General features: G+C 47.6%; 2 non-coding genes across 2 annotated transcripts, besides 3 other annotated features; one reads left to right on the forward strand and one right to left on the reverse strand.

Moving 5' to 3' along the window:
* On the forward strand, nt 7,589-7,805 carry SNORD3A (small nucleolar RNA, C/D box 3A). Its single transcript, NR_006880.1, has one exon. It is a non-coding gene; the product is annotated as a small nucleolar RNA, C/D box 3A (small nucleolar RNA).
* Nucleotides 7,603-7,762: a silencer, noted in NCBI's record as "silent region_8284". NCBI's record gives its function as "represses an Ori minimal core promoter by ATAC-STARR-seq in GM12878 lymphoblastoid cells {active_cell/tissue: GM12878}" and the evidence as "EXISTENCE:reporter gene assay evidence [ECO:0000049][PMID:35858748]".
* Nucleotides 9,152-9,746: an enhancer, noted in NCBI's record as "OCT4-NANOG-H3K27ac-H3K4me1 hESC enhancer chr17:19092892-19093486 (GRCh37/hg19 assembly coordinates)". NCBI's record gives its function as "activates a minimal SCP1, AML or CMV promoter by ChIP-STARR-seq in naive H9 embryonic stem cells {active_cell/tissue: H9 hESC(naive)}" and the evidence as "EXISTENCE:reporter gene assay evidence [ECO:0000049][PMID:30033119]".
* On the reverse strand, nt 9,602-9,818 carry SNORD3C (small nucleolar RNA, C/D box 3C). The gene has a single exon (NR_006881.1). It is a non-coding gene; the product is annotated as a small nucleolar RNA, C/D box 3C (small nucleolar RNA).
* Nucleotides 9,747-10,340: an enhancer, noted in NCBI's record as "OCT4-NANOG-H3K27ac hESC enhancer chr17:19093487-19094080 (GRCh37/hg19 assembly coordinates)". NCBI's record gives its function as "activates a minimal SCP1, AML or CMV promoter by ChIP-STARR-seq in naive H9 embryonic stem cells {active_cell/tissue: H9 hESC(naive)}" and the evidence as "EXISTENCE:reporter gene assay evidence [ECO:0000049][PMID:30033119]".

Consider the following 20,417-nt stretch of genomic DNA (forward strand, 5'->3'; position numbering starts at 1 on the left):
GGGAGGCTGAGGCAGGAGAATGGCGTGAACCCGGGAGGCGGAGCTTGCAGTGACCCAAGATCGCGCCACTGCACTCCAGCCTGAGCGACAGAGCGAAACTCCGTCTCAAAAAAAAAAAAAAAAAAAAAAAAAACAAAATACACGACTTCTTTTTAATTTGCAAATTAAATCTGAACATGCACAAAAGTGGAAGGTATGAGCCCTCACTACCGCCACTCAGCCTCGACCCCCACCTGTTTTTATACTTCTTGCCTCTACCCACCTTTGAGTGCTTTAAAAAATAAAACGAAATAGATGGAATAACATACGATAGAAAATATCAGAAAAGGAAGAATGTTACTTTGTGAAAAATTGTGTCTACTGAGTTGGAATATGAAACATGTTTGCAAAACTGTCCTCACACTTTGCTAAAACTCGTTTTTGAACAGAGCACTCATCCTACACAGCCTCTGTGGGGAAGCATCCAACACCATTTAATAACATTGTTTTGTTTTTATCCTATTCACTTTCATTGTTATTGCCTATGAAAGTGACACAAATTTTCCATTTAAGAGTAGCAATAGATAAAGTCCCCCTTTGAGTACATGTATTGACCAGGTGTGGTGGCTCACGCCTGTAATCCCAGGAATTTTGGGAGGCTGAGGCAGGAGGATGGCTTGAGCCCAAAAGTTTAAGACCAGCCTCCGCAACATAGCAAGACCTCGTCTCTGCAAAAAATACATCAATTAGCTGGGAGTGGTGGCACAAGCCTGTAGTCCCAGCTACTTGGGAGGCTGAGGTGGGAGGATTGCTTGAGCCCAGGAGGGGGAGGTTGCAATGAGCCGAGATTGCGGCACTGCACTCCAGCCTGGGGACAGAGCAAGACCCTATCTCAACAAACAAACAAACAAACACGCCCCCCCCCCCATCTCTTTATAGAACAATTTTAAGTTTTATTAGGTAGTTATAGTTGAGAGAGGGTGTGGTGAGAACACGAGAGTGGCCTCAGCCCAGTCCCACCAGAGTCTGCGGAGCCGCTGTCTGTCCCTGCTCCTGGCCGGTCTGCGGCAATCCCGTCATTTCTGCCTCGGTCTCTGCGTCTATGGGGACCGGTGCGTGGGTGGGTCAGTCTCTCTCTTGCGTTCTGTGTCTGTGTGGCCCGGACGCTGAGGGGTGTGGAGTGGCCCTGCCACAGGCCGTCCTTAGCACAGCCCCCGGGGGACCCCTCATTCACTTCCGGGACCGGAAGGCGACCTGTAGTTCCAGAAGCCGCCGCAAGAGGGCAGAGGCGGCCATAGGATGGGGCGCGGCCCGCTGGGGGCTGCCTTGAGATGCGGCTAAGAAACCCGGCAGCCCTGGGAGGAACCACACTCCCAGCGCCCCACATGTGGGTTCGAACCTGGGCTCCTCCATTCCTAGGTTAAGGCTCTTAATCCTGCCACCAGTAAAATGGGTTACTGTAAGCTTTAAATAATGTGAATATAAGGTACCTAGTTTGTGAACCTGTTTTTCCCGTTTGCTTGGGGAACTGTGGACCTCCCACAGGGGCTGGGACCTTTTAATAAGTCATACAATTTAAGGAATTTTTATTTCCCTAGTGTCTGGTACTGAAAGCAGTGAGCAAGGGAATGACATGATTAGAAAATGAAATAGAAGGAAAAGGAGGAGGGGGAGTGGAAGAGGAGGGGGAAGAGGAAAAAGAATATGATAAAATGCACTTAAAAAAAAATCCAGGGGCCAGACATGGTGGCTCACACCTGTAATTCCAGCACTTCGGGATGCTGAAGTGGAAGGGATTACTTGAAGCCAGGAGATCAAGACCAGCCTGGGCAACACAATGAAATCCTGTCTCTACAATAAATAAATAAGTAAATAAATAAATAAGTCAGGTATGGTGGCGAGCACCTCTGGTCTCAGCTACTTGGGAGGCTGAGGTGGGAGGTTGACTTGAGCCCAGGAGTTTGAGGCTGCAGTGAGCAGTGATCATGCCACTGCACTCCAGCCTGGATGACAGAGCAAGACTCTTATCTCTGAAAAGATAAACAAACAAACAAACAAACAATCTATTATCCTACCCCTCATCAATAACCACATTGGGTTTTTGGGTTTTCATACGTGAATTTGTGGTCTTTTTCTCACAACAAACTCATACATCCAAATATAAATTTATGAATATTTGCTCACAAACTCAAAGGTGCAAGAAATGTCACACTACTTCATTAAATTAAAAAAAAATTTTAAGTACTTGTTTTATAAACATGCTCAACAGAAAAAATCCAAGCCACTTAGAAAGTATACAGAAAAAAAGCAATAAATCTCCCCCATCTGTGGGGTTTTATATTTCATGAACATCATCATAGAATTCTCTCCACACAGCCTCAATCTATCTATATAAGATGAATGAATGGATGGACAGGCAAGTTTTTTGTTTTCTTGAGACAGGGTCTGGCTTTGTTATCCAGGCTGGGGGGCAGTGGTATGATCTTGGCTCACTGCAACCTCCACCTCCTGGGCTCAAGCCATTTTCCCGCCTCAGCCTCCCAAGTAGCTGGGACTACAGATGCGTGCCACCATGCCTGGCTAATTGTTTTGTATTTTTTGTAGAGACGGGGTTTCACCCTGTTGCCCAAGCTGGTCTTGAACTACTGAGCACAAGAGATCCTCCTAACTTGGCCTCCCAAAGTGCTGGGATTATAGGCGTGAACCACCACGTCCAGCTGACAGGTAAGATTTTTTAAGACTGGGATCATAACCCATGCTATTCTGTTTGTGTGTGAACAGCCAGTGACTTGTCATTATGTACGTATGCCTGTGTGTTTTAAGTGTTTTAAAAAATTAATTAGTAGAGGGCAGGCACAGTGGCTCATGCCTGTAATCCCAGCACTTTGGGAGGCCGAGGTGGACAGATCACCTGAAATCAGGAGTTCAAGACTAACCTGGCCAACACGGTGAAACCCCATCTCTACTAAAAATACAAAAATTAGCCAGGCATGGTGATGCATGTCTGTAATCCCAGCTACTTGGGAGGCTGAGGCAGGAGAATCTCTTGATTCAGTGAGACAAGATCGCACCACTGCACTCCAGCTGGGACACAGAGCAAGACTCCGTCTTTAAAAAAAAAAAAAAAAGAATTAATTAGTAGACTTTTCTGGGAGGAGCGGTTATAGGTTTACAGAAGAATTGAGCACAAAGAACAGAATCCCCATACATCCTCTCTCTCAGACCCCTACACTCATTTCCCCGTTAGTAACATTTTGCATTATAGCGTGATACTTCTGTTACAACTGATGTACCAATATGCATATGGAATTATTAAATAAGGTCCATAGCTCACATTACAGCTCATTCCTGGTGTTGTACATTCTGTGGGTTTGGACAAATGTGTAATGCCGTATCCACCATTGTCATGTCATACAGAGTAGTTTTGTGGCCCTGAAAGTCCCCTGTGCTCTGCCTGTCCATCCCTCCCTCCCCCAACCCCTGCTAACCACTGAGCCTTTTACTGTCTCCATAGTTTTGCTTTTCCAGAAGGTCATGTGTATGGAATCGTACAGTATATGGCCTTTTCACATTGGCTTCTTTTTCTTAGTAATATGCGTTTAAGGTTCTTGAATGTTTTTTCATGGCTTGATAGCTCATTTGTTTTTAGCACTGAATAATATCTAATTCTCTGGATGTACCACAGTTTATTTATCCATTCACCTATGTAGGACTTTTTTTTTTTTTTTTTTGAGGTGGAGTCTCACTCTGTCTCCCAGGCTGCAGTGCAGTAGGGTGACCTCAGCTCACTGCAACCTCTGCCTCCCAGGTTCAAGCGATTCTCCTACCTCAGCCTCCTGAGTAGCTGTGATTACAGGCGTGTGCCACCACACCCAGCTAATTTTTGTTGTTGTTGTTGTTGTTGTTTTCTTTCTTTTTTTTTTTTTTTGAGATGGAGTTTCGCTCTGTCGCCCAGGCTGGAGTGCAGTGGCGCGATCTCGGCTCACTGCAAGCTCTGCCTCCCGGGTTCACACCATTCTCCTGCCTCAGCCTCCTGAGTAGCTGGGACTACAGGCACCCGCCACCACGCACGGCTTATTTTTTGTATTTTTTTTTTTTTTTTTTTTTTTTTTAGTAGAGACGGCGTTTCACCATGTTAGCCGGGATGATCTCGATCTCCTGACCTCGTGATCTGCCCGCCTCAGCCTCCCAAAGTGCTGGGATTGCAGGCGGGAGCCACTGCGCCCAGTGTAATTTTTGTATTTTTAGTAGAGATGGGGTTTTGCCATGTTGGCCAGGCTGGTCTTGAGCTCCTGATCTCAGGAGATCCACCTGCCTTGGCCTCTCAAAGTGAAGACATATTTTTTATTTTATTTTATTTTATTTTATTTTATTTTATTAGAGACAGGGGTCTCCCTCTGTTGCCCAGGCAGCTCCTAAACCCCTGATCTCAAGTGACTGTCTGCCTCAGCTGCCCAAGTAGCAGGGATTACAGTCACAAGCCACCGCCCCCGGCTCTGTTTAGGAACATCTTAGTTCCAAGTTTTGGCAATTATGGGTAAAGCTGCTATAAACATATGTGTGCAGGCTTGTGCGGACATACGTTTTCAAATCATTTGGGTAGACACCAAGAGCTGCATTCCAGCCTGGGCAACAAGAGCGAAACTCCGTCTCAAAAAAAAAAAAAAAAAAAAAAAAAAAACCAGAAATGTAGGCCGGGCATGGCGGCTTGCACCTATAATCCCAGAACTTTGGGAGGCCAAGGCAGGCAGATCACTTGAGGTCAGGAGTTCAAGACCAGCCTGTCCAACATGGCGAAACCCCGTCTCTACTAAAAATACAAATATTAGCCAGGCGTGGTGGCGCATGCCTGTAATCCCAGCTACTCAGGAGGCCGAGGCACGTGACTCACTTGAACTCAGGAGGCAGAGGTTGCAGTGAGCCCAGATCGTGCCACTGCACTCCAGCCTGGGTGATGAAGTGAAACTCTGTCAAAACAGAAATTATTCTCTCGCAGTTATGAAGTCTCAAAGGGGGATCCTTCCTTGGCTCCTCCGGCGTCTGGAGGCTACTGGCCATCCTGGTGTTACTCAAACACCAGGGGTTCCATCTAGGGCCTGCCACTCACCTCACAGAAAGCCAATCAGTGAGACAACGATTCTTGCCAAGGAAGAAGGCTTTAATCAGGTGCTGCAGCTGAGGGGATGGGAGGGCTTCATCCCAGGAATGCAGGGGGTGGTTCAACATAAGAAAATCCGTTAACGTAATGTACCGCATTAGTAGAACAAAGGGAAAAAAACAGTCATTCCAGCTGACACAGAAAAAGCATCTAAGAAATTCTAACATTTCATCATTAAAACATAGAGAAAACTATGAAACGAGGGGATCTGCCTCAACATTATAAAAGGTATTTGTGAAAAAACCACAGTTACCATCATACTTAGTGGTGAAAGACTAAAAGCTTTCCCCCTAAGTTCAGGAACAAGACACAGAGGTTCACCTTTACCACTGCTACTCAATGTTTTTTTTTTTTGTTTTGTTGGTTTTGTTGTGTTTTCGAGAAGGAGTCTTGCTCTGTCGCCCAGGCTGGAATGCAGTGGCGTGATCTCGGCTCACTGCAGCCTCTGCCCCCGGGGTTCAAGCAATTCTCCTGCCTCAGCCTCCCCAGTAGCTGGGACTACAGGTGCGCACTGCCACGCCTGGCTAATTTTTGTATTCTTAGTAGAGACAGGGTTTCACCATGTTGGCCAGGATGCTCTTGAGCTCCTGACCTTGTTATCTGCCTGCCTCGGCCTCCCAAAATGCTGGAATTACAGATGTGAGCCACCGCGCCTGGCCTAGTCAACATTTTGCTAGAAGTTGTAGCCAGAGCCTTTAGGTAAGAAAAGGCACCAAATTGAGAAATAAGAAATAAAACCATCGCTTTAAATAGGGAAAATCCCAAAGAATACACGCACAATAATTACTAGAGCTAATAAGCAAATGCAGCAAAGTTTCAGGACACAAGATCAACTCACAAAAACCAGTTGTGTGGTTTCCTGTTTGTTTTTTTGAGGAGTTATGCTCTTATCGCCCAGGCCGGAGTGCAATGGCGTGATCTTGGCTCACTGCAGCCTCTGCCTCCCGGGTTCAAGCAATTCTCCTGCCTCAGCCTCCCCAGTAGCTGGGATTACAGGCGCAGGCCACCACGCCCGGCCAGTTTTTGTATTTTTAGTAGAGACGAGGTTTCACCACGTTGGCCAGGATGGTCTTGATCTCCTGACCTGGTGATCCACCCGCCTCGGCCTCCCAAAGTGCTAGGATGACAGGCGTGAGCCACCGTGCCCGGTCCAGTTGTGTTTTTATGCACTGGCAAGGAACAATTCAAAAATGTAATTAAGAAAACCGCTGGGCGTGGTGGCTCACGCCTGTAGTCCCAGCACTTTGAGCGGCCGAGGCGGGTGGATCCCTTGATCCCAGGAGTTCAAGACCATCCTGGGCAATGTGGTGAAACCCCCTCCCTACAAAAAATACAAAAAATTAGCGGAGCGTGATGGCATGTGCCTACGATCCCAGCTACTCAGGAGGCTGACGTGGGAGGATCACCCGAGCCCTGGGGGTCAAGGCTGCAGTGAGCTGTCACATCATGCATCATTGCACTCCAGCCTGAAAAAGGAGTGAAATTCTGCAACATGTTACAACGTGAATGAACCTTGAAAACGTCATTCTAAGTGAAATAAGCCAGATACAAAAGGACAATATTGCATGTTTCCACTTATAGAGATACCTACAAGAATCAAATTCATAGAGACGGAAAGTAGAATAGTGGTTAAAGGGGTCTGGGCGGAGGGAGGAAAGGGAAGTTTGTTTTACGGGTAGAGTTTCAGTTTGGGATGTCGAAAAAGTTCTGGAGATAAATAATGGTGATGGTTACATGCCAATGGCTACACGAATGTACTTAATGCCACTGAATTGTATATGTGAAAAATGGTTAAAATGGTAAATTTTGTATCTATTTAATACCATCCCCCCTAAAAAAAAAATTGTTTTTAAGAGTCAAGATCTCACTCTGTCTCCCAGGCTGGGGTGCAGTGGGGTAACTGATCAGAGCTCACTGCAGCTTTGAACTCAGCCAGCTTCCCTGACTCAAACGATCATCCCGCTTCAGCCTCCCGAGTAGCTGGGACTACAGACGGTGCCATCACGCCCAGCTCATTGTTGATTCCCGCCCCCTTGGTAGAGACGGGATTCCGCTATATTGCCTGGGCTGGTGTCGAACTCATAGAACAAAGGATCCTCCCTCCTGGGCCTGGGCGTGGGCTCGCAAAACGCTGGGATTCCCGGATTACAGGCGGGCGCACCACACCAGGAGCAAACACTTCCGGTTTTAAAAATTCAGTTTGTGATTGGCTGTCATTCAGTATTATGCTAATTAAGCATGCCCGGTTTTAAACCTCTTAAAACAACTTTTAAAATTACCTTTCCACCTAAAACGTTAAAATTTGTCAAGTGATAATATTCGACAAGCTGTTATTGCCAAACTATTTTCCTATTTGTTTCCTAATGGCATCGGAACTAGCGAAAGTTTCTCGCCATCAGTTAAAAGTTTGCGGCAGATGTAGACCTAGCAGAGGTGTGCAAGGAGGCCGTTAAGACTATACTTTCAGGGATCATTTCTATAGTGTGTTACTAGAGAAGTTTCTCTGAACGTGTAGAGCACCGAAAACCACGAGGAAGAGAGGTAGCGTTTTCTCCTGAGCGTGAAGCCGGCTTTCTGGCGTTGCTTGGCTGCAACTGCCGTCAGCCATTGATGATCGTTCTTCTCTCCGTATTGGGGAGTGAGAGGGAGAGAACGCGGTCTGAGTGGTTTTTCCTTCTTGATGGCTCAATGACAGAGACTAGCTCGTAAACTCCGGGGCGTTTCTGGGCTGTTCGCTCCTGCTTGGCATGTCGCGAGAAAGGTTTTCGCCTCCTGTTTCAGCGGTGACGGCTCTTGGGTTTTCTCGGGGTGGCTTTTTAATTTTAGTCTTGGCGCGAGGCGGGGGATGCTGTGTGGCACCTCCTATTGTCTCTTTTTGCGTTTTCTCCCATTCTCGCTCCCTCTTTTGTCGCCGTTTCCCGCCCGCCACTCCCACCCCCAGACGGGGTCTCCGGGTCTCTTGTTCTGTCTGCCGGCCCCGGCTGGATTGCAGTGGCGCGATCTCGGCTCCTAGCAACATCTGCCTCCCGGGCTCAAGCGAGTCTCCCGCCTAAGCCCTCCCGAGTAGCCGGGGCTTAAAGGCGCACACGCCACTCCAGGCTTTTTTTTTTTTTTTTTTTTTTTTTTTGGCAGAAACGGGGTGTCAGCATGTTAGCCAGGCTGGTCTCCAACGCGTGATCTCAGGTGATCCGCCCGCCTCGGCCTCCCGAAGTTCTGGGATTACAGGCGTGAGCCACTGCACCCGGCCCTTCTATTTTTTTAAATAGCGACGGGGTTTCACCATGTTGGCCAGGCTGCTCCTGAACACCTGAGTTCAGGTGATCCGCCCGCCTCGGCCTCCCGAAGTTCTGGGATTACAGGAGTGAGCCACCGCGCCCGACTGAGAACTGTAAGAAATAAATTTGTGTTATTTAAGCCACAAAGTCTGTGTATTTTGTTATGGAGCCCAAGAAAAGCAGCTTCTTCTGAAACTAAACACTTTCGGTATGATCAGAACTCGTGCCTCTTGGTGTCTACCCAAATGAGTTGAAAATGTCCACACAAAAACCTGCACACCTGTTTATAGCAGCTTTATCCATAATTGCCAAAACTTGGAACTAAGATGTTCCTGAATAGAGCCAGCGGCTGTGGCTTGTGTCTGTAATCCCTGCTACTTGGGCAGCTGAGGCAGACAGTCAGTCACTTGAGATAAGCAGTTTGAGACCAGTCTGGGCAACAGAGTGAGACCCCATCTCTATAAAAAGTACTTTTAGGGCCGGGTGCGGGTGGCACGCCTGTAATCGCAGAACTTCGGGAGGCCGAGGCGGGCGGATCACCTGAACTCAGGTGTTCAGGAGCAGCCTGGCCAACATGGTGAAACCCCGTCGCTATTTAAAAAAATAGAAGGGCCGGGTGCAGTGGCTCACGCCTGTAATCCCAGAACTTCGGGAGGCCGAGGCCGGCGGATCACCTGAGATCACGCGTTGGAGACCAGCCTGGCTAACATGCTGACACCCCGTTTCTGCCAAAAAAAAAAAAAAAAAAAAAAAAAAAGCCTGGAGTGGCGTGTGCGCCTTTAAGCCCCGGCTACTCGGGAGGGCTTAGGCGGGAGACTCGCTTGAGCCCGGGAGGCAGATGTTGCTAGGAGCCGAGATCGCGCCACTGCAATCCAGCCGGGGCCGGCAGACAGAACAAGAGACCCGGAGACCCCGTCTGGGGGTGGGAGTGGCGGGCGGGAAACGGCGACAAAAGAGGGAGCGAGAATGGGAGAAAACGCAAAAAGAGACAATAGGAGGTGCCACACAGCATCCCCCGCCTCGCGCCAAGACTAAAATTAAAAAGCCACCCCGAGAAAACCCAAGAGCCGTCACCGCTGAAACAGGAGGCGAAAACCTTTCTCGCGACATGCCAAGCAGGAGCGAACAGCCCAGAAACGCCCCGGAGTTTACGAGCTAGTCTCTGTCATTGAGCCATCAAGAAGGAAAAACCACTCAGACCGCGTTCTCTCCCTCTCACTCCCCAATACGGAGAGAAGAACGATCATCAATGGCTGACGGCAGTTGCAGCCAAGCAACGCCAGAAAGCCGGCTTCACGTTCAGGAGAAAACGCTACCTCTCTTCCTCGTGGTTTTCGGTGCTCTACACGTTCAGAGAAACTTCTCTAGTAACACACTATAGAAATGATCCCTGAAAGTATAGTCTTAACGGCCTCCTTGCACACCTCTGCTAGGTCTACATCTGCCGCAAACTTTTAACTGATGGCGAGAAACTTTCGCTAGTTCCGATGCCATTAGGAAACAAATAGGAAAATAGTTTGGCAATAACAGCTTGTCGAATATTATCACTTGACAAATTTTAACGTTTTAGGTGGAAAGGTAATTTTAAAAGTTGTTTTAAGAGGTTTAAAACCGGGCATGCTTAATTAGCATAATACTGAATGACAGCCAATCACAAACTGAATTTTTAAAACCGGAAGTGTTTGCTCCTGGTGTGGTGCGCCCGCCTGTAATCCGGGAATCCCAGCGTTTTGCGAGCCCACGCCCAGGCCCAGGAGGGAGGATCCTTTGTTCTATGAGTTCGACACCAGCCCAGGCAATATAGCGGAATCCCGTCTCTACCAAGGGGGCGGGAATCAACAATGAGCTGGGCGTGATGGCACCGTCTGTAGTCCCAGCTACTCGGGAGGCTGAAGCGGGATGATCGTTTGAGTCAGGGAAGCTGGCTGAGTTCAAAGCTGCAGTGAGCTCTGATCAGTTACCCCACTGCACCCCAGCCTGGGAGACAGAGTGAGATCTTGACTCTTAAAAACAATTTTTTTTTTAGGGGGGATGGTATTAAATAGATACAAAATTTACCATTTTAACCATTTTTCACATATACAATTCAGTGGCATTAAGTACATTCGTGTAGCCATTGGCATGTAACCATCACCATTATTTATCTCCAGAACTTTTTCGACATCCCAAACTGAAACTCTACCCGTAAAACAAACTTCCCTTTCCTCCCTCCGCCCAGACCCCTTTAACCACTATTCTACTTTCCGTCTCTATGAATTTGATTCTTGTAGGTATCTCTATAAGTGGAAACATGCAATATTGTCCTTTTGTATCTGGCTTATTTCACTTAGAATGACGTTTTCAAGGTTCATTCACGTTGTAACATGTTGCAGAATTTCACTCCTTTTTCAGGCTGGAGTGCAATGATGCATGATGTGACAGCTCACTGCAGCCTTGACCCCCAGGGCTCGGGTGATCCTCCCACGTCAGCCTCCTGAGTAGCTGGGATCGTAGGCACATGCCATCACGCTCCGCTAATTTTTTGTATTTTTTGTAGGGAGGGGGTTTCACCACATTGCCCAGGATGGTCTTGAACTCCTGGGATCAAGGGATCCACCCGCCTCGGCCGCTCAAAGTGCTGGGACTACAGGCGTGAGCCACCACGCCCAGCGGTTTTCTTAATTACATTTTTGAATTGTTCCTTGCCAGTGCATAAAAACACAACTGGACCGGGCACGGTGGCTCACGCCTGTCATCCTAGCACTTTGGGAGGCCGAGGCGGGTGGATCACCAGGTCAGGAGATCAAGACCATCCTGGCCAACGTGGTGAAACCTCGTCTCTACTAAAAATACAAAAACTGGCCGGGCGTGGTGGCCTGCGCCTGTAATCCCAGCTACTGGGGAGGCTGAGGCAGGAGAATTGCTTGAACCCGGGAGGCAGAGGCTGCAGTGAGCCAAGATCACGCCATTGCACTCCGGCCTGGGCGATAAGAGCATAACTCCTCAAAAAAACAAACAGGAAACCACACAACTGGTTTTTGTGAGTTGATCTTGTGTCCTGAAACTTTGCTGCATTTGCTTATTAGCTCTAGTAATTATTGTGCGTGTATTCTTTGGGATTTTCCCTATTTAAAGCGATGGTTTTATTTCTTATTTCTCAATTTGGTGCCTTTTCTTACCTAAAGGCTCTGGCTACAACTTCTAGCAAAATGTTGACTAGGCCAGGCGCGGTGGCTCACATCTGTAATTCCAGCATTTTGGGAGGCCGAGGCAGGCAGATAACAAGGTCAGGAGCTCAAGAGCATCCTGGCCAACATGGTGAAACCCTGTCTCTACTAAGAATACAAAAATTAGCCAGGCGTGGCAGTGCGCACCTGTAGTCCCAGCTACTGGGGAGGCTGAGGCAGGAGAATTGCTTGAACCCCGGGGGCAGAGGCTGCAGTGAGCCGAGATCACGCCACTGCATTCCAGCCTGGGCGACAGAGCAAGACTCCTTCTCGAAAACACAACAAAACCAACAAAACAAAAAAAAAAAACATTGAGTAGCAGTGGTAAAGGTGAACCTCTGTGTCTTGTTCCTGAACTTAGGGGGAAAGCTTTTAGTCTTTCACCACTAAGTATGATGGTAACTGTGGTTTTTTCACAAATACCTTTTATAATGTTGAGGCAGATCCCCTCGTTTCATAGTTTTCTCTATGTTTTAATGATGAAATGTTAGAATTTCTTAGATGCTTTTTCTGTGTCAGCTGGAATGACTGTTTTTTTCCCTTTGTTCTACTAATGCGGTACATTACGTTAACGGATTTTCTTATGTTGAACCACCCCCTGCATTCCTGGGATGAAGCCCTCCCATCCCCTCAGCTGCAGCACCTGATTAAAGCCTTCTTCCTTGGCAAGAATCGTTGTCTCACTGATTGGCTTTCTGTGAGGTGAGTGGCAGGCCCTAGATGGAACCCCTGGTGTTTGAGTAACACCAGGATGGCCAGTAGCCTCCAGACGCCGGAGGAGCCAAGGAAGGATCCCCCTTTGAGACTTCATAACTGCGAGAGAATAATTTCTGTTTTGACAGAGTTTCACTTCATCACCCAGGCTGGAGTGCAGTGGCACGATCTGGGCTCACTGCAACCTCTGCCTCCTGAGTTCAAGTGAGTCACGTGCCTCGGCCTCCTGAGTAGCTGGGATTACAGGCATGCGCCACCACGCCTGGCTAATATTTGTATTTTTAGTAGAGACGGGGTTTCGCCATGTTGGACAGGCTGGTCTTGAACTCCTGACCTCAAGTGATCTGCCTGCCTTGGCCTCCCAAAGTTCTGGGATTATAGGTGCAAGCCGCCATGCCCGGCCTACATTTCTGGTTTTTTTTTTTTTTTTTTTTTTTTTTTTGAGACGGAGTTTCGCTCTTGTTGCCCAGGCTGGAATGCAGCTCTTGGTGTCTACCCAAATGATTTGAAAACGTATGTCCGCACAAGCCTGCACACATATGTTTATAGCAGCTTTACCCATAATTGCCAAAACTTGGAACTAAGATGTTCCTAAACAGAGCCGGGGGCGGTGGCTTGTGACTGTAATCCCTGCTACTTGGGCAGCTGAGGCAGACAGTCACTTGAGATCAGGGGTTTAGGAGCTGCCTGGGCAACAGAGGGAGACCCCTGTCTCTAATAAAATAAAATAAAATAAAATAAAATAAAATAAAAAATATGTCTTCACTTTGAGAGGCCAAGGCAGGTGGATCTCCTGAGATCAGGAGCTCAAGACCAGCCTGGCCAACATGGCAAAACCCCATCTCTACTAAAAATACAAAAATTACACTGGGCGCAGTGGCTCCCGCCTGCAATCCCAGCACTTTGGGAGGCTGAGGCGGGCAGATCACGAGGTCAGGAGATCGAGATCATCCCGGCTAACATGGTGAAACGCCGTCTCTACTAAAAAAAAAAAAAAAAAAAAAAAAAATACAAAAAATAAGCCGTGCGTGGTGGCGGGTGCCTGTAGTCCCAGCTACTCAGGAGGCTGAGGCAGGAGAATGGTGTGAACCCGGGAGGCAGAGCTTGCAGTGAGCCGAGATCGCGCCACTGCACTCCAGCCTGGGCGACAGAGCGAAACTCCATCTCAAAAAAAAAAAAAAAGAAAGAAAACAACAACAACAACAACAACAAAAATTAGCTGGGTGTGGTGGCACACGCCTGTAATCACAGCTACTCAGGAGGCTGAGGTAGGAGAATCGCTTGAACCTGGGAGGCAGAGGTTGCAGTGAGCTGAGGTCACCCTACTGCACTGCAGCCTGGGAGACAGAGTGAGACTCCACCTCAAAAAAAAAAAAAAAAAAGTCCTACATAGGTGAATGGATAAATAAACTGTGGTACATCCAGAGAATTAGATATTATTCAGTGCTAAAAACAAATGAGCTATCAAGCCATGAAAAAACATTCAAGAACCTTAAACGCATATTACTAAGAAAAAGAAGCCAATGTGAAAAGGCCATATACTGTACGATTCCATACACATGACCTTCTGGAAAAGCAAAACTATGGAGACAGTAAAAGGCTCAGTGGTTAGCAGGGGTTGGGGGAGGGAGGGATGGACAGGCAGAGCACAGGGGACTTTCAGGGCCACAAAACTACTCTGTATGACATGACAATGGTGGATACGGCATTACACATTTGTCCAAACCCACAGAATGTACAACACCAGGAATGAGCTGTAATGTGAGCTATGGACCTTATTTAATAATTCCATATGCATATTGGTACATCAGTTGTAACAGAAGTATCACGCTATAATGCAAAATGTTACTAACGGGGAAATGAGTGTAGGGGTCTGAGAGAGAGGATGTATGGGGATTCTGTTCTTTGTGCTCAATTCTTCTGTAAACCTATAACCGCTCCTCCCAGAAAAGTCTACTAATTAATTCTTTTTTTTTTTTTTTTAAAGACGGAGTCTTGCTCTGTGTCCCAGCTGGAGTGCAGTGGTGCGATCTTGTCTCACTGAATCAAGAGATTCTCCTGCCTCAGCCTCCCAAGTAGCTGGGATTACAGACATGCATCACCATGCCTGGCTAATTTTTGTATTTTTAGTAGAGATGGGGTTTCACCGTGTTGGCCAGGTTAGTCTTGAACTCCTGATTTCAGGTGATCTGTCCACCTCGGCCTCCCAAAGTGCTGGGATTACAGGCATGAGCCACTGTGCCTGCCCTCTACTAATTAATTTTTTAAAACACTTAAAACACACAGGCATACGTACATAATGACAAGTCACTGGCTGTTCACACACAAACAGAATAGCATGGGTTATGATCCCAGTCTTAAAAAATCTTACCTGTCAGCTGGACGTGGTGGTTCACGCCTATAATCCCAGCACTTTGGGAGGCCAAGTTAGGAGGATCTCTTGTGCTCAGTAGTTCAAGACCAGCTTGGGCAACAGGGTGAAACCCCGTCTCTACAAAAAATACAAAACAATTAGCCAGGCATGGTGGCACGCATCTGTAGTCCCAGCTACTTGGGAGGCTGAGGCGGGAAAATGGCTTGAGCCCAGGAGGTGGAGGTTGCAGTGAGCCAAGATCATACCACTGCCCCCCAGCCTGGATAACAAAGCCAGACCCTGTCTCAAGAAAACAAAAAACTTGCCTGTCCATCCATTCATTCATCTTATATAGATAGATTGAGGCTGTGTGGAGAGAATTCTATGATGATGTTCATGAAATATAAAACCCCACAGATGGGGGAGATTTATTGCTTTTTTTCTGTATACTTTCTAAGTGGCTTGGATTTTTTCTGTTGAGCATGTTTATAAAACAAGTACTTAAAATTTTTTTTTAATTTAATGAAGTAGTGTGACATTTCTTGCACCTTTGAGTTTGTGAGCAAATATTCATAAATTTATATTTGGATGTATGAGTTTGTTGTGAGAAAAAGACCACAAATTCACGTATGAAAACCCAAAAACCCAATGTGGTTATTGATGAGGGGTAGGATAATAGATTGTTTGTTTGTTTGTTTGTTTATCTTTTCAGAGATAAGAGTCTTGCTCTGTCATCCAGGCTGGAGTGCAGTGGCATGATCACTGCTCACTGCAGCCTCAAACTCCTGGGCTCAAGTCAACCTCCCACCTCAGCCTCCCAAGTAGCTGAGACCAGAGGTGCTCGCCACCATACCTGACTTATTTATTTATTTACTTATTTATTTATTGTAGAGACAGGATTTCATTGTGTTGCCCAGGCTGGTCTTGATCTCCTGGCTTCAAGTAATCCCTTCCACTTCAGCATCCCGAAGTGCTGGAATTACAGGTGTGAGCCACCATGTCTGGCCCCTGGATTTTTTTTTAAGTGCATTTTATCATATTCTTTTTCCTCTTCCCCCTCCTCTTCCACTCCCCCTCCTCCTTTTCCTTCTATTTCATTTTCTAATCATGTCATTCCCTTGCTCACTGCTTTCAGTACCAGACACTAGGGAAATAAAAATTCCTTAAATTGTATGACTTATTAAAAGGTCCCAGCCCCTGTGGGAGGTCCACAGTTCCCCAAGCAAACGGGAAAAACAGGTTCACAAACTAGGTACCTTATATTCACATTATTTAAAGCTTACAGTAACCCATTTTACTGGTGGCAGGATTAAGAGCCTTAACCTAGGAATGGAGGAGCCCAGGTTCGAACCCACATGTGGGGCGCTGGGAGTGTGGTTCCTCCCAGGGCTGCCGGGTTTCTTAGCCGCATCTCAAGGCAGCCCCCAGCGGGCCGCGCCCCATCCTATGGCCGCCTCTGCCCTCTTGCGGCGGCTTCTGGAACTACAGGTCGCCTTCCGGTCCCGGAAGTGAATGAGGGGTCCCCCGGGGGCTGTGCTAAGGACGGCCTGTGGCAGGGCCACTCCACACCCCTCAGCGTCCGGGCCACACAGACACAGAACGCAAGAGAGAGACTGACCCACCCACGCACCGGTACCCATAGACGCAGAGACCGAGGCAGAAATGACGGGATTGCCGCAGACCGGCCAGGAGCAGGGACAGACAGCGGCTCCGCAGACTCTGGTGGGACTGGGCTGAGGCCACTCTCGTGTTCTCACCACACCCTCTCTCAACTATAACTACCTAATAAAACTTAAAATTGTTCTATAAAGAGATGGGGGGGGGGCGTGTTTGTTTGTTTGTTTGTTGAGATAGGGTCTTGCTCTGTCCCCAGGCTGGAGTGCAGTGCCGCAATCTCGGCTCATTGCAACCTCCCCCTCCTGGGCTCAAGCAATCCTCCCACCTCAGCCTCCCAAGTAGCTGGGACTACAGGCTTGTGCCACCACTCCCAGCTAATTGATGTATTTTTTGCAGAGACGAGGTCTTGCTATGTTGCGGAGGCTGGTCTTAAACTTTTGGGCTCAAGCCATCCTCCTGCCTCAGCCTCCCAAAATTCCTGGGATTACAGGCGTGAGCCACCACACCTGGTCAATACATGTACTCAAAGGGGGACTTTATCTATTGCTACTCTTAAATGGAAAATTTGTGTCACTTTCATAGGCAATAACAATGAAAGTGAATAGGATAAAAACAAAACAATGTTATTAAATGGTGTTGGATGCTTCCCCACAGAGGCTGTGTAGGATGAGTGCTCTGTTCAAAAACGAGTTTTAGCAAAGTGTGAGGACAGTTTTGCAAACATGTTTCATATTCCAACTCAGTAGACACAATTTTTCACAAAGTAACATTCTTCCTTTTCTGATATTTTCTATCGTATGTTATTCCATCTATTTCGTTTTATTTTTTAAAGCACTCAAAGGTGGGTAGAGGCAAGAAGTATAAAAACAGGTGGGGGTCGAGGCTGAGTGGCGGTAGTGAGGGCTCATACCTTCCACTTTTGTGCATGTTCAGATTTAATTTGCAAATTAAAAAGAAGTCGTGTATTTTTTTTTTTGTTTTTTTTTTTTTTTTTTTTGAGACGGAGTTTCGCTCTGTCGCTCAGGCTGGAGTGCAGTGGCGCGATCTTGGGTCACTGCAAGCTCCGCCTCCCGGGTTCACGCCATTCTCCTGCCTCAGCCTCCCGAATAGCTGGGACTACAGGCGCCCACGACCACGCCCCACTAATTTTTTGTGTTTTTAGTAGCGACGGGGTTTCACCGTGTTAGCCAGGATGGTCTTGATCTCCTGACCTCGTGATCCGCCCGCCTCGGCCTCCCAAAGTGCTGGGATTACAGGCGTGAGCCACCGCACCCGGCCTTAAAAAGAAGTTTTAAAAAAACTAATTTGGATTCAGTATACTAACTTTATAGCTCACTAAGCAGTCACACCCCATAATTGGAAAAACTGTGTGCAAAATACGTAAAGCCCTAACACTGTGCAGAGATTTTACCTGGGCATAATCAGCAGACTGAAAGTGAATGAAGAAGGAAATTGCCTTCCCACTGTAGTTGATTGTCTACTGAGGCGGCCACCAAGAACTTCTCCCTGCCCTGTGCCCTCCGCCACCCCCACATCCAAAGGTGAAGCCTATTTCCCCTCCCCTTGCATCTGGCCTGGCCTTGTGGCTGTTTTCACCCCTAGAATGCACCCCCACTAGAATGCACCAGAAGCGATGTTCTGGGACTTCCAAGTTAAGACCTCAAGAGGACTAGCAGCTTCTGATTGTTATCATTTGGGATGCTCCTTCTGGAAATGAGCCACCACGTTGTGAGGAAGCCCAAGAAGCAACACAGAAAGACCCATGCGGAGAACTGAGGCCCTGGGCTAACAGCTCCAGCTAAGCTTCTAGCTGGCAGCCAGCAGCAACTGCCAGCCACATACTTCCTATCCATGCCTATGGCATCACATCACGAAAACACAGGATGACCGGGCGCAGTGGCTCACGCCTGTAATCCCAGCACTTTGGGAGGCCGAGGTGGGCGGATCACGAGGTCAGGAGATCGAGACCATCCTGGCTAACACGGTGAAACCCCATCTCTACTAAAAATACAAAAAATTAGCCGGGCGTGGTGGCGGGCGCCTGTAGTCCCAGCTACTCGGGAGGCTGAAGCAGAAAAATGGTGTGAACCCGGGAGGTAGAGCTTTCAGTGAACTGAGATCGCGCCACTGCACTCCAGCCTGGGCGACACAGCGAGACTCTGTCTCAAAACAAACAAAGAAACAAAAACAGGATTCCCAGTTAAAATTGAGTTTTGAAAAAATAGTGAAAAATTATTATCACTATTATTTTTATTTTTATTTTTTTGAGACGGAGTCTGGCTCTGTCACCCTGGCTGGAGTGCAGTGGCACGATCTTGGCTCACTGCTACCTCCGCCTCCCGGGCTCAAGCAAGTCTCCTGCCTGAGCCTCCCAAGTAGCTGGGACTACAGGCAAGCGCCACCACTCCTGGCTAATTTTTATACTTTTAGTAGAGACGGGGTTTCACCATATTGGCCAGGCTGGTCTCGAACCCCTGACCTTGTGATCTGCCCATCTCAGCCTCCCAAAGTGCTAGGATAACAGGCGTGAGCCACTGTGCCTGGCCTGACAAATTATTTAGTGTAAGTATGCCCCAAATAACGTGGGACATTCTCATACCAAAAAAAAAAAAAAAAAATTCATTCATTGTTTTCTAATTTAACTGGGAGTCCTGTATTTTTATTTGATATATTCAACAACCCTGCGGACTTTCTCTGGCTTCAAGAGAATGCTCAGCCCGGGCGAAGGGCAAAAGAACAGTGAGGACAAGTGCCACCCTCTCCAGCCCTTGTTGGGACACTTCCGAGCTGTGCTCGCCCAAGAGCACTGAGCCTCTGCTGCCTGCAGCAGTGACCTGCTCCTTCTTGGCTTTCACCCCTTGATCTCACTTCTCCACATGCCTGCTGGTGCCTCCTAGGGTTACCTCCCAAAGAAACTCCCAGTACCGAAATTCTTGTCTCAGGGTCTTTTTTTTGAGACGGAGTCTCGTCCTGTCGCCCAGGCTGGAGTGTAGTGGTGCAATCTTGACTCACTGCAACCTCCACCCCCTGGGTTCAAGCAATTCTCCTGCCTCAGCCTCCCGAGTAGTTGGGACTACAGGCGTGTGCCACCACGCCTGGCTAATTTTTTGTATTTTTTAGTAGAAATAGGTTTTCACTATGTTGGCCAGGACGGTCTGGATCTCCTGACCTCATGATCCATCCGCTTCGGCCTTCCAAAGTACTGGGATTACAGGCGTGAGCCACCGCGCCCGGCCTATTTGAGAACTCAAACCAAGACAGGAAGAGCCGGGTAAACGCTAAGTTTAATGATGGCCGTTATTCCAGTTATTCACTCGCATTGCCTCTTACTGTAGAGGAAAATAAACAGGAATGTAATAATCACAGCTAACATTAATTAAGCCCCTACTGGATATGATACATGTTTCAGATGTACTAACTCACTTCTTACCAACAACCGTCTGAAATATCTTTAAGTCCATTTTCCACACAGGGAAACCAAGGCATAGAGAGCCTAAGCAACTTAACATCTCATTGCCAGCAAGCAACAGCAGCAGAATTCACACCTAGAAAGTGGGGCTTAATAAAATGTAAAATTGTTCTATAAATAGATAAAGTGTTATTAAAAAGAAAAATAGAATGAATTTTGAAACGTCAATTAATGTACTTATTTATTTATTTATTTATTTGAGATGGAGTCTTGCTTAGTCGCCCAGGCTGGAGTGCAGCGGTGCAATCTCGGCTCACTGCAAGCTCCGCCTCCCAGGTTCACGCCATTCTCCTGCCTCAGCCTCCCGAGTAGCTGGGACTACAGGCGCCCGCCACCATGCCCAGCTAATTTTTTTGTATTTTTAGTAGAGATGGGATTTCACTGTGTTAGCCAGGATGGTCTCGATCTCCTGACCTTGTGATCCGCCCGCCTTGGCCTCCCAAAGTGCTGGGATTATAGGCGTGAGCCACCGCACCTGGCCTATTCATTTTATTTTTAAGACAGGGTGTCACTCTGTTACCCAGGCTGGAGTGCAGTGGTACAATCATGGCTCACTTCAACCTCGAACTCCTGGGCTCAAGTGATCCTCTCACCTCAGCCTCCTGAGTAGCAGGTGGACACCACTCAGGGCCCATGTGTTCACATA

The sequence above is a fragment of the Homo sapiens genome, chromosome 17 (genome assembly GCF_000001405.40).
Source record: "Homo sapiens chromosome 17, GRCh38.p14 Primary Assembly".
In the NCBI taxonomy this organism is placed as follows: Eukaryota; Metazoa; Chordata; class Mammalia; order Primates; family Hominidae; genus Homo; species Homo sapiens.